This window comes from Homo sapiens, chromosome 10 (assembly GCF_000001405.40).
Source record: "Homo sapiens chromosome 10, GRCh38.p14 Primary Assembly".
Classification (NCBI taxonomy): Eukaryota; Metazoa; Chordata; class Mammalia; order Primates; family Hominidae; genus Homo; species Homo sapiens.
Window position 1 is genome coordinate 44,833,807 of NC_000010.11, and position 14,395 is coordinate 44,848,201.

Sequence of the window (14,395 nt, forward strand, 5' to 3'; positions counted from 1 at the left end):
TACAGACAGCAGGCTCTAGGCATTTGAAGATTCATTCCCCACTCCGGATACGCCAGGTTGGAAGAAACTCACACCTCATAGAGACCCTCCACCTCCTTCCCATCTTCTCTCAAGTTCCCTGGCATTTTTTTTGTCACTCAGCTTGTTAAAACTCAGTATATCAAGACACCCCCAGCACGCCAGGGTGCTCATCTCTCAGGCCCATCACTGCTTGGTTTTCTTGTCCATTGATCACTCAGCACACACATAGAAGACTTACCTGGCCTGGGCCCACTGCTGGGCCAGACACCAAGGAGAATAAGATGCAGCCCCTTGCTTCATGGTCCTCACAGTCCTCTGGGAGGTTTCCTGCAAGGTGGTGCTGTGCTCTGCAATAGAGGAATCTTGGAGGAGCTGTGGAAAGGCAGAGGCTGAAACAGGAACATGCAGCTGCTAGAGGTGCTCAGGAAGGACACATGAAAAGATGCATTTGAAGTGGTAGGACAGGAAGGGATGCCTGGCAACAGCGAAGAAATGCTGGGGTACTTCCCACACAGGCAGTGGCTTCAGAGAGCACAGCTCGCTCCAGGAAGAAGAAAGAGTCTGAGGATGCCACGATGATGAAGACAGATGCCAGGCTCTGCAGGGCCTCACATGGAAGGAGAATGAAAAGAGGATATGTGGCCTTTCCATTTGCCTCTATGCTGTGGGGCTGCATTTGGGTCTAATGGCTGCCTGGTCGTCAATGCACACTGGAGGGTGACTGAGGTGGACACACTGTTTTGATGTGGCTCCTCCACTTCCCCACTGACTCTAGCTGGGCTCAGGTGGGTGGCAGAGAACAGCATGTAGAAGCATGGCAGGCACCATCAGCCTGGATGCAGAGGGACGCTAACAAACCTGTAGAAGGGCTCCAGCCAATTCACAATAGACATCAGATGAGTATCTTCAACAGCAAGAGGGAGGTTGCTGCAACTGCTTTGCAGACAGAGGCCAGGGCAGGGGCAGGGGGCCTGGGAAAAGGCAGCACCACATACAGGGTCAGGATAGAGATGCACAAAAAGGGCATGACAGCAAACTGCCCACCCATTCACATATGAAATGGCAGCCACAAATGCAGAGGGAAGTAGACCTTGGAATAAAATCTTCAATAAATCAATGAGCAGGTCATTCGGTGACTTAGAGTTTTGGTCACTTGCTTCTCAATGAACTAGTCATTTGCAAATTGTTTTTCAGTGAATTGATCTGGTTTCCAGAAAGAGGCCCCAAGCAGAGGACTCCACTGTGGCTTCCAGAGTGTTCACTCCGGTCACCTGCTCAGATGTAAGAAATGCAAAGGAAACTGAACTGCTTAACTCTCTGAAGTCCCTCTCTTTCCTTATCTCCAAGTGCAAATCCTCCACACAGAAGGCTGAGGTCATTCTCCATGGTATGTTTTAAGCCTTTCCATCTTCACTAAAACTTCTTTTCTTCAGGTTTCTTTCTTGTTCTCTTGCTGTCGTCTTGCCCTCCTGCCTGCTCTTGCTCTTTCTTTCTATAAACAATGATATAAATTACCACTTAGCCTGAGCTGCTTAGCTTATTCCCTGTTCTTTATGGAGACAGCATGTTCCATAATGGATCGCCTTTGTGCAAAGAAGCAATCCCAGTAATTAGGCACACTTTCATGGAGAACCCAAGCACCATAACTCAGGAGATCATAAGCATTTCTACCCTGGTGAAGTTCAGTTTAATGCAAAATAAACATGTGTTTCCTGTCCCTTATTCTAAATCGATTGGGCCATTTGTCTAATTTAAACACTCTATAAATTATACACATCCTCCAAAGATAGGGATGAGGTAGAGGCCCTTGATGTATGCTTTTTCCTATGGCTTGAATCCATCACTGTCTCCTGCAAGGCCCCTTAGCTTTCTCCTGAGTGGATGGAGGCCCCATAACTCTCTGATCTGCTTCATTTTCTCTGACACCCCTTAGGATCCTTTTTCAGACAATTTGGCTAGAGAATTATGGCTGACTTTCAGAAGAAAGGGAATGAAGTTTAAACTTGAACTGAGTCTTGCAATATCTTATGTTTTGCTAGCACAACATTCAAATTCTCTCCAATTTCTCTTCTCTGTCCATTATAAGATTTTACAAGGGAAAAGTCAAAGAAAGTAAGGCAGGTTGGGTATGGATACTTGTGGTGTACAATTATGCACCATTTTTAGCCAATTTAGCACAACTGAATACTGGGGGGGAAAAAACTCTCTTGATCAAATCATTAGTTTCTCTGGCATATGAGCTTTCAAGAAGGGTGAAGACCTCTCTTGGGATTTACATCTCCAACTGGTGGGTTTTCTTAACTTTTCAAATCTTGTAGGTAAATTGTAACCTGGTTATCAAATAGATTCCATTTTATTATAAATAAATTAGGCCCTATTTTGTTCCCATTTTCACATTTAAAAGCTAATCTTTGTTGTCATGCCTATCTGTTAAATCACATAATACATGAACTGGAAGGAAAATAAGAGCTCAGAGAATTCAATTTCCTTATTTTATAAATACACTGAAACTAACAAAGAGCGGCAACTGAGATGGAACTAGAACTAAGATTCTTGAATATTGGTTCAGTTTGTAGGGGTTAGAAAATATGACAAAGTCAGGCATAAGATAATTCTGTAATCACTGCTACTGTGTGGCATTGCACAGAGGTTTCATATAATAGAGTAAGTTAAGAAAAATAAAGCAAAGCTATGATTTTGAAAACAAAAGAGAAAATTCTATGTTTTCAACTGAAAGGATTATATACCTAGAATACCAAGACAAATAACTTACTAAATAAAACTGTAATAGAATTCAGGGAGATGGGTGATTAATAAGAATGCCATACAGAAATTAATATTTTGTAGTAAAAAATAAATAGAAAAAAAGTCCTCCTTTACAAATTTCATAAGCCCATAAGACTCCTAAAAACTAATAAGAAATGTTTATGGCATATATAAATAAAACAATCATACATTCTTGAAAAACTATAAAATACCTGAATCAATGAGAAACAAATCGTTTCTGGCTGAGAATCCCCCATACTGTAAAATTATCAGTTCTACCAAATCAGTTAGGAGATTTATTACACTCAAACCAAGATTCTCAAAGGATGATTTATAAAATGTGACAAGGTGATTCTAAAGTTCTTCTAGGAAACACATAAGTATAACCAATAAAATTCTGAGAAAGAATAATTATGAAAACAGGCTTGCTGTTTCAGATATCAGAATATATTTTGAAACAATACTGATGGAGGAATTGTTAAGTAACCGATGAAGCAGAAAAGCAGTAGAAATGAGTCCATATATACTGTGTTTTTAAAATGGTATATCAAAACGGTATATCAAAACTGTGGGGAAAGGGTGAGTTATGATTAATAAATAAATAAACTGCTGTAAGCCAGCAATACAATTACAAGAGAAAATAAAGTCAGTTCCCTCTTTGACCAATATGCAAATATGAATTCTAGCTAGAATAAAAGGATAAATATAAAACTTCCAGTGGAATAAAAGTACATATAGGAATTTTTTAAATACAAACTTATAAAGGTGGAAGAATCCTTGCTGAACAAGGCACGTTGTTGATGAATTATAAATAAAAAGAAGGAAATGGCCGGGTGTGGTGGCTCATGCCTATAGTCCCAGCACTTTGGGAGGCCAAGGCAGGTAGATTACTTGAGGTCAGGAGTTAAAGACCAGCCTGGCCAACATGGCAAAACCCCATTTCTACTAAAAACACAAAAATTAGCCAGGCATGGTGGCGCATGCCTGTAATCCCAGCTACCCGGGAGGCTGAGGCATGAGAATCACTTGAACCCAGATAAAACTTAAGAGTTCTGTATGACAGAAGACACCATGAACAAAGTATAAAGATAAGTGGCAGAGTTACAGGCAGGGAAAATGTTTACAACAAGAATGAACAGTAATAATTCCCAGAATATATATGGAAATCCTACCAAAAAAATAAGACAAACAATATAAACATATAAGCAAAATGTATGAACATTAGATTCATAGTAAAAGGTACTGATGGCTAATAAATATATAAAGATACAGTACTTGAGTAAGTTTTCATATAAATAATGACCTATAAGAAGAAACCAGGAGAAGCAGCACTGGATTAGCACTGAGACAAAATAACATCCACTGATTTGGGAGAACCAATGTCTTCACTATTGAGTCTTCCCATTCAGGAACATGCTTGGTCTATTCATTTATTCAGATCTGTATCCTTCAATTAGTGTAATTGCTTCATTTATAAGGACATAGATTTTTCATTGACTTTGGGAGGTTTTTTTGACATTACCTTTCAAACTTTTCTCATTTCTGTGTCACTCCTTTGTTCCCTAGTCCTTCATTGCCCTCCTATAAGACATTCTGTTAATATATCACATTAAATAAGAAATGAATAAAAACTCTAGCAACATTCAAGCAGCATTCTCTGAAGACACAGAAAATCTTGTAGAAAGAATTGTTTAAAGAACGCATGGCATATAAGAAAATGTGGAGGTGGGAAGCAAAGGAGATGATGGCTGTTCGTGTGCTCCCGGACCAGCTGGGGTCCTAGTGCAGAGACGCTGGGATCTGATTCAGAGCAAGGAGTTATCCTCATGCCAGATAAGGGTACATTCCAGGATGGCCAGGGCTAAGAAGGCTTTCAGCACACACTCCCTCTCCCCTTTTCATTTCCCTCCACCATAAGCTGAGGGCCCTCAAGTTTTTCCCTTGTCTTTTTTTTTTTTTGAGACGGAGTTCCCCTCTTGTTGCCCAGGCTGGAGTCCAGTGGTGCAATCTCGGCTCACTGCAACTACTGCCTCCCAGATTCCAATGATTCTCCTGCCTCAGACTCCCTAGTAGCTGGGATTACAGGCATGCGCCACCATGCCTGGCTAAATTTGTATTATTGGTAGAGACGGGGTTTCACCATGTTGGTCAGGCCGGTTTCGAACTCCTGACCTCAGGTGATCCACCCGCCTCGGCCTCCCAAAGTGCTGGGATTACAGCACTGTGCCCGGCCTTCCCTTGTCTTTTCCACACTTTCCTTCTTTCCCCAGGTTGACACTTCAGACCTCCAGGCTGCTTGACTGGCATAAGTCTTGAACCCAGCTTCCCTGTGCAGGAAAACATGCTGCTGCCTCTTGTTTTTCTATGGATCCCATCAGGTTTACCTGGATGGATGGATGGATGGATGGATGGATGGATGGATGGACGGGCTTCACCTCTGGCATTGGTTCTTCTGGATTTAGACATCTCTTATCCAAGAGATTACACACTAGTAACTAAGTTCTAACCATTTGATGTGGCTTTCAACTCCACTAGCCGATTCTCTAGCCCTCCTGTGGCTTTCCTGGTTATCCTATTGAGTGCTGCTTTAGATATCTCATTCATGTCTTCCCGGGTGTGAGGACAGATCATGCCTCTAAAGACGCATGTTAATTTTCCAGAAACAGAGAAAATTCGACTTTCAGATCCATGTGCATCAGTTCCATTTAAATCTGTCATTAGCACCATGAAGTCAAACTGCGTCAGAACTTTTCAGCATTAAATATGACCTGATGGATGTTTCCTGTGTTTCTTTTCCTTTGCCTCAGAAAAAAATAAGCTGCCCTTAGCCATATGAGAATTTAAACACAGCTAAAATATCAGTCCCCTAAAACCCATGTCTATGGACACTTACACAGAATAGCTCCGACGGTTTAACCAATAGCAAGTCCAAATAAAGAGACCACTGCAGTGAAAGCCACCTCAAAATAAGGAAGCTCATCCTGGATTCACCACACTCCACAAACTCCCAGGAGGACGGAGTTGTGACTAGCACATAAGAATGAGAACAACAGTGCCAGGAATTGAGGTGAGCGAGGAGTCCCTCAGCAGGAAGTAGATCATTTCTAAGAGATGAGTAAACACCTCATGCAGCTGCTGTTTTAATTTCTCATGTGCTTGACTGAAAAGCAGTTTGGAAAGTTGAGATGAGCTTTTTTTTTTTTTTTTTGAGACAGAGTCTCACTCTGTAGCCCAAGCTGGAGTGCGATGGCATGGTCTCGGCTCACTGCAACCTCTGCCTCTGGGGCTCAAGCGATTCTCGTGCCTCAGCCTCCTGAGTAGCTGGTACTACAGGCATGCACCACCATGCCCAGCTAATTTTTTGCATTTTAGTAGAGACAGGGTTTCACAATGTTGCCCAGGGTGGTCTTGAACTCCTGAGCTCAGGAGACCCACCTGCCTCAGCCACCCAAAGTGCTGGGATTATAGGCATGAGCCACCACACCCCACCTGAAATGAGCTTGCTTTCTTTTCTTTTTTTTTTTCCTTTTTTGAGATGGAGTCTAGCTCCTTCACCCAGGCTGGAGTGCAGTGGCATGATTGTGGCTTACTGCAACCTCTGCCTCTGGGGCTCAAGCAATTCTTGTGTCTCAGCCTCCTGAGTAGCTGGTACTACAGGCATGCACCACCATACCTAGCTAATTTTTGTATTTTTAGTAGAGACAGGGTTTCACTGTGTTGGCCAGGCTGGTCTCAAACTCCTGACCTCGTGATCCGCCCACCTTGGCCTTCCAAAGTGCTGGGATTACATCAAATGAGCTTTCTTAACCTCTCATGAACTCAGGATACTGGATGATTTATTTTCTGTCTATCAGATAGCATTCACAAGACTTTAATTTGGAATAGAATTAAGTACTCCATGAATGCACTAAAGAGGCCAAATAAAAGGTAGAGGTTGGCAGAGAACACTCTTTAAATGGCCCAAATATATGTTGTTTATAAGAAACTCACTTCAAGTATAACAATATAGGCAAGTAGAAAGTAAATGGATAGAAGAAAAATATATATATATATATAATGCAAACACTAATCAAAAAAATGAGTAACAATGTTCATATCAGATAAAGTAGACTTCAGAGCAAAAGCAATTACCAGAGACGTTATTTAATGATAAAAGAGTCAATCCATTTAGAAGGCATAGAAATGCTAAACGTGTATGCACCAACCAACAGAGCGACAAAATATGTGACGTGAAAACAGATAGAACTAAAAGGAAAAATAGACAAGTCAACGGTTATCATTGGAAACTTTAACACCCCCTCTCAACCATTGGTAAAAAAAAACTAGACAAAAAATAATCAAGGATACCATCAAACAGCAAGAGCTCATTGACATTTATAGAACACTCCACTCAACAGCAGAATGAACATTCTTTTCAAGTGCCCACCAAACCTATGCCAAGATAGACAGTGCTATGATTTGAGTGTTTGTCCCCTTCAAAACTCATTGTAAAATTTAATCCCCAATGTGGCAGTATTGAGAGGTGGGACCTTTAAGAGGTGATTGGGTCATAAAGGCTCTGTCATCATGAATGGACTAGTTCATTCATGGATTAATTGGTTAATAAGTTGTCATAGAGGTGGGACTGGTGGCTTTACAAGAAAAGGAAGGGAGACCTAAACTAGGACATGAGCATGTTAAGCCCCCTTTCTATGTGATGCCCTGCACCATCTCAGGACTCTGCAGCAAGTCCGCCCCAGCAAGAAGGTCCTTACACGATGCAGCCCTCAACCTTGGGCTTCCCAGCCTCTATAACCATAAAAAAAAAAAAATCCTTTTCTTTATCAATCGCCCAGTTTTGAGTATTCTGTTATAAGCAACAGAAAACAAAGACAGACACTATCTTAGGCTATAAATCTAGCCTCAGCAAATGTAAAAGAATTGAAATCAGAGAGAGTATGTTCTCTAATCACAATAAAATCAACTAGAAATCAGTAAGAGAAAGATAACAGGAAAAATTTCAAGCACTTGTAAACTCACAAGCACATTTCTAAATAGTCTGAGTCAAAGAGGCTATCTCAAGGAAAATTTGTAAATGCATCGAGCTAAATAAAAATTAAAACATAACATTAAAATTTGTGGGACACAGTTAAAAGCAGTGCTAAGAGGGAAATTTATAGCACTGAATGTACACAATAGAAAACAAAAGTTTCAAATCATTTATTTATGTACCTCTGTCAAGAACCTAGAAAGAGAAGACAAAAATAAATCCAAAGCAAGCTTCCAGAAATAACAAAGATAAATCAGTGAAATTCAAAAGAGAAAAACAATAGGTTATCAATGAAACTGACAAACCTCTAATAAGATTGGCAAAGGGAAAAGAGAGAAGATACAAATTACTAATATCAGAAATAAAACAAGGAAAACCAATACAGACCCTTCAGACAGCAAAAGGGTGACGAGGGAAAGCCATAAACAACTTAGCACACATAACTACAAAAACTTAGATTTAATGGACCAAGTCCTTGAAAAGGACAAATTACCACAGCTCATCCAATATAAATAAATAGTTTGAATAGCCAATAACTATTAGGGAAATTTAATTTGTAATTTTAAAACCCCCTAAAAGAAATATTTATGCCCAGATGGAAATATTTATCTCCAGGATTCCACTGGAGATTCCTACCAAATCTAAAGAAGAATTAACACCAATTCTGTACATCTTTTCCAGGAAATAGAAGGGGAGGGAATGCTTTATCAAAGTTTAAAACTTTTGTGTTATTACTTTAAAGAGACAGGGGCTTGCCATGTTGCCCAGGCTGTTCTCAAACTCCTGAGCTCAAGCAATCCACCACCTCAGCCTGCTGAAGTGCTGGGATTACAGGTGTAAGCCACTGTGCCTGGCCTAAAAACTTTCGTTGAAAGAATGATAAGATGAGTTACAGAGTGTAAGAAAATATTTGCAGATCATATATCCAACAAAGCACTAATATCTAGAATATATAAAGAAGCTTCAAAACTAACAATTAAAAAAATCGAATTAGAAAATGCACAAAAGACACAAAGACAAAGTGGATATACAGATGGAAAATAAGCCCATGAAATATTTTACATCATTAGCCTTTAGGGAAATGCAAATTAAAAACACAATGAGATACCACCAATATACCTACATTAATAGCTAAAATAAAAAATAGTAAGGCCGGGCGCGGTGGCTCACGCCTGTAATCCCAGCACTTTGGGAGGCCGAGGCGGGTGGATCACGAGGTCAGGAGATCGAGACCACGGTGAAACCCCGTCTCTACTAAAAATACAAAAAATTAGCCGGGCGCAGTGGCGGGCGCCTGTAGTCCCAGCTACTCGGGAGGCTGAGGCAGGAGAATGGTGTGAACCCGGAAGGCGGAGCTTGCAGTGAGCGGAGATCGCGCCACAGCACTCCAGCCTGGGCGATAAAACGAGACTCCGTCTCAAAAAAAAAAAAAAAAAATAGTAACAACACCCAATGTTGGGTGCAACAACCAATGTTGGGTGCAACACCCAATGCATGGATGCAGAGAAATTGGATGACTCGTACATTGCAAGTAGGAATGTAGAATCATTCAGCCACATTGGAAAACAGTTTGGCAATTTTTTAAAAAAATAAACATGCAAATAACATATGACCCAGTGATTATACTCTTGGACATTTGTCCTAGAGCAATGAAGGCTTACATTCACACAAAAACTTGTTCACAAATATTTATAGCAATTTATTTACAACAGTTAAAAACTGGAAACAACTAGATGTCCTTCAGCAGGTAGATGGTTAAACAATTGGGTACTATTAATATATATCCATACTATGGAATACTACTCAGCAGTAAGAAGAAACTATAGATAAATACATCAAACAGATGAATATCCAGAGAATGATGCTAGTGAGAAAAAGCCAGTTCCAAAAGACTGGCTTACACACTATCAGATACACACTATCTGATTCAATTTACATAATATTCTCAAAAATGACAGAATTATAGATGTGGAGCACAGAGTCGTGGTATCCAGGGTCTAAGGAGGGGTGGAGATAGGAAAGAAAGTGGGTATGACTATAAATAGACCACATGAGGAATCCTTGCGGCAGTGGAATGCCCTGTAGCTTGGCTGTTCTGATGTCAATATCCTGGTGGTGATATTGTACTGTAATTCATGGTACCATGGATATACCAGGATTTGTTTAACCACTGAAAGCAACTGGGTAAAGAGCACATGGGGTCTCTGTGTAATATTTCTAGCAACTGCATGAGAATCTACAGTGATCTCAAAATAAAACTTTGATTTCAAAAAGAAAAAAATGTTTTTAATCCAAATATTTTTAATCCTAAAGGCATATGGAAACAGAAAATAAATAAATACTACGTTAATTCTTTTCACTACAAACGGTCTTTCATAAACTCTTCAGAGTTTTTCTGAATGGAGAATTGTAATTCTAACTAAAAGATCTACTACTTATCCTGAATGTGGAGTCAAGGTAGAGTTATCACCATCCCAATAAACTGCACATTTCACCTCTGCCTACGCCAAGGATCAATCAGTGTGTCATCTCCAAAACTCTACATCAGCTTATGGCCTGAAGCAGCCTGGCTTACGACATAATCATTTCACTATTGGTCACTAAAATAATCTAATTACATTCCATGAAAATGTAACTGGAAACAAGACATTGTTTGACAGTGTTTGTTGAAAACCTTTATCACAATATTACCCAGAGGGAAGTGGGAAGAAACAGTTTCCAAACAACTCAGTTTCCAAACCTGAACTCAGTAATAACCCCTTCTCTTTCACTTACATCTAAATATCTGATCCAGGTCTTAGACAAACTGTATGTGTGTGCTCATGAGCCGCAGCACACAGGAAGAGGAGCCCCACCATACTCTCTGCTGATGATGAGGTTTACTATTGAGAACCAGGAGGGACCTTCAGAGGCAGCCAGCCTTGTGGGCTCACCATACTCAGAAAGAAGAGTGAACACTAATTTAGCTGGTGTGGCCCTACTGCTCTAGTCAGACTTCCCACAACATTCTATTCAGTGAATCCATGGACTCCATGACATCACTCAGGGAACATTTGGAGTCCCCATAGCCTGTCAGTCTCAGCCAGAGACAAAAATCCAAAATTCTACTCAGCTAGCCAGTGGATGCAACCAAAGCTTCAAGCTCCAGATATCAGAGCTTCTACATTCTGTGGATCTAAAGCCTTGATCACCACCCTAGGACTTGAGCAGCCCCTGGAGTTAACGTCAGTGTTCTTTCCTCAGGAGCCATCTTTCATCTGCCTGGAGACCTGCTTCCATGCAGAGTAGGACAGCTCTCCATTTGGAGATGACTCCATCGAGCTTTGTAATTTCCATAACAGGAAATTAGACCAAAGACAATGAAGGCCTTAATGGGTAGGCTGCCCCCACTGTGTCCGGAGTCACTGAGAACTAGGCATGGCAGGTGTTAGCATGCCCCTACCAGATGGAAGGGTGCTGTCCTGTGGTGATAATGTTAGGCCCCCATGCCCCAGTGCCCAACCAAGCCAGCGCCTTGCTCCTGGTCATCACCACCAAATAGATCCAGTCGCTAAGACTGGGTTTCTGCTCTGTCTCTAATTTTCTATTCTAGTTAACTAGAATAGAAATAGAATAGGCTGTAACCCTATTCTTCTGGCCTGTCCCCGCCTCCTTTTCTCCAAGGGCTGAAACCTAATTCCTTTATCTCCCAGCTACTGACAAGATGTTATCACTCACCTGACTTTGGGTTTTGCCAATTCTCAAAGATTCAAAGAGGCCATAAGATAGAAACTCTTGTGATTTTTCTTCAAACAACCAGACCCACAAAAAAAAGGCAGAAAGAGAAAAAAGAATCTTGAATTAGACTCATCTTGGATAACCCTGGACAACAGGGATATTTAATTCAATTCAACTCAACAAAAACATCTCAAGTTTCCATGTGTGTCTGGCATTTTTTCAGCTTTTGGAATAGTAGAGATTAATACAACACAGCTCTTGCCTGCCCCAAGTGTGTTGCTAATTGGGAAAACATACATATAAACATAACTCCTTAATTTAATATAGCACATAATGTGGCTGGAGGGTTTCATAAAATATGAATTTTTGTTTCATCAAGAGTAGTGTATGGGTCCCACAGAGGAGGACAAAGGGAAAGCAGGGGAGAAAGGACTGGGCAAGAGCCAAAAGAGGGAGAAAGAGAGTCCCCAGCACTAAAAAGGACACATTAGATGGGGTTGTGTGAGCAGCAGGCACCTGCACTGCTCCGGGGGGTGGCAGGACCTCCGAGGGAGCTCCCTGGGGGTTGGCTGCAGGGAGACTGCCCGCAGGTCCCAGCAAAGAGCCCCACACGCAAGCCTCGGATGGGATCCTGGCACTGTCTGCTTACCAGGAGCCAGGCCAGACAAAGGGGAACCAAGGTGTGGAGCACTGGACAAGGAGTGAACCAAAGGTGGCCAGTTCGGCCATGAATAGAGTCCTCCCAGATGCCCTCCTCAAACTAAGTTCCCCTTCATAGACTTTTGGGATGAGTGGAACAAACCCCAGTTGTAGAGATGAGGGAGATTTCTGCCAGCCCTGGCAGAAGTGGGGCAGAGAACTGATTATAATCGATTGCATAAAAATAAAGCTCTATGACTATTGTGCGTGTGTGTGTGTGTGTGTGTGTGTGTGAAGTTTTTTTTTTTTTTTTTTGAGACAGTCTTGCTCTGTTGCCCAGGCTGGAGTGCGTTGGCACGATCTTGGCTCACCTCCCAAATTTTCCCACCTCTGCCTCCTGGGTTCAAGCAATTATCCTGCCTCAGCCTCCCGAGTAGCTGGGACTACAGGCATGCACCACCACACCCAGCTAATTTTTGTATTTTTAGTAGAGATGGGGTTTCACCATGTTGGCCAGGCTGGTCTCGAACTCCTGACCTCAGGTGATCCACTTGCCTCAGCCTCCCAAAGTGCTGGGATTACAGGTGTGAGCCACCACGCCTGGCTGTGAAGATTTAAAACCACTCTACAGTGATAAGCACAGGGTATAGAAGAAATATGGTGGAGGGCACCAGACCCAGATGTGGACTCCTATGAAATCTGCATGGAGAAGCTGATGGGAAGACTGAGTCTTGAAGCATGAGTTAGAGAGAATCTGGTAAGGAAGGGGCATAGAGGGAGATCCAAGTGAGATGACGTGTGTGGGGGTGGGGGAGACTGAAGGGAAATCTCAACAGAGGGCCCCCCCCCAACGGATCTGCCTCTGGATCCACCTCCACAATGCTCTTAGGTTTGGCACACTGCTGCTTCCTACCTTCTATTTGCAAGCAGCCCGTGATACCTGGCAACATGTTTGCATGGCCCACTCTGACCCTCTGTCTCTTGCTCAGGAAATACCCTAGAACCACAACCATAAGAGCATCTCATTTACTTTGCAGCTAATTTAGGATTCATAATCTTTCATCAATATTAGGATGATAGAACATTTGAACTGAAGATTTAACAACTTTGTTCAAAATTGTTCTTTTGCAGATGGCGAAATTTATTTAAGACCAGAAATGAGAAATAACCTGTCACTTGTCATGCATCCAGAAAGGGGTGGAGTTGAAATCTGCATCCATGTCTCCTGATGGCTAATCCTTTGCTGGAGGGTCAGCAGCTGCTTTGTAGAACTGCAAGGGGCAATATTCAGCTTGTGTTCTATGAGGTTGGCTCCCCAGGTGCCCCTCAGAGTTGTGTGATGCCAAGCCCTGAGGCCATGCTGCACTGCCTCCAACAAAGGGCAGCCGACACTGGCCAGATGCTCACAGCTTCACCAGCTTCACAGCTTCACCTGGGCATCAGCTTCTCTGCAGTGTCCATGCCCAACACATTGGGAGTTAGCAATGGTGTGAAGAAATGGCAGGAAATTGTACCAGGCGTTCCCACCTTCGGGCATGAAAGGGCCCAGTGTCAGGGAAAAGCATAGTGCCTTCTTCTGCCACAGAAATGAGCTAGGCAGGGAGAGGAATCAGAGATGACTCTGTTTCCCTTCTTGTTCTATCAACCACCTCCCAAATTATCCCACCTCCAATTCTCTGCCACTGCCATCAAGAAGCCAAAAGACAAGCATTTGAAGGAGATGTCCCAGGACGTAAGTGGAGGGCAGAAAATGTGCTCTTGTCACTGGAGCAGCAGAGGCCAAGGAGATCCTTTAACTCCCCTCACCCTGGACACCAGCCTCCAGCCCCAGGTGGCATGCATCCTGAGGGTGCAGTGGTGGGCTGAAGAACTGTCTTTAAAAACGCACTTTTCCTAGGAAGGGGGAACTTGAGAAGCTCAGAGCATTGGAAAGTAATGAAAGCCTTCTTGATGGAGAAGCTAATAAAAAGGAGAGACCCACGGACAGCATGGAGGGGGCCAGGCCCAGAGCCCAGGCAGGCAAGAGCTTTCCAGCCAAGGGTGACTCCCAACTGGCTGGAGAAGGGAACTTTGTGACAACTGGCTTGTGTTTGGGCTAGAGCCACTCGGAGGAGTCTTCAAAGAAAAGTAAAAAGTGGGAGAGCCAGCCGACTGGAGATTTCTGGAAATGGGACTTTCAGATACTCCCCAATTCAGATTTTTATGTACTGGACTAGTTTTACG

The 14,395-nt window shown here is 42.4% G+C and overlaps 1 long non-coding RNA gene across 1 annotated transcript in view; it reads right to left on the reverse strand.

Annotated features, from left to right (window-relative positions):
* Positions 1-14,395, reverse strand: part of TMEM72-AS1 (TMEM72 antisense RNA 1) — a 148,666-nt gene that overhangs the window by 22,783 nt on the left and 111,488 nt on the right. The window contains exon 3 of the long non-coding RNA NR_033842.1: positions 260-1,513. This is a non-coding gene — a long non-coding RNA (TMEM72 antisense RNA 1). The remainder of the gene's footprint in view (positions 1-259; positions 1,514-14,395) is intronic.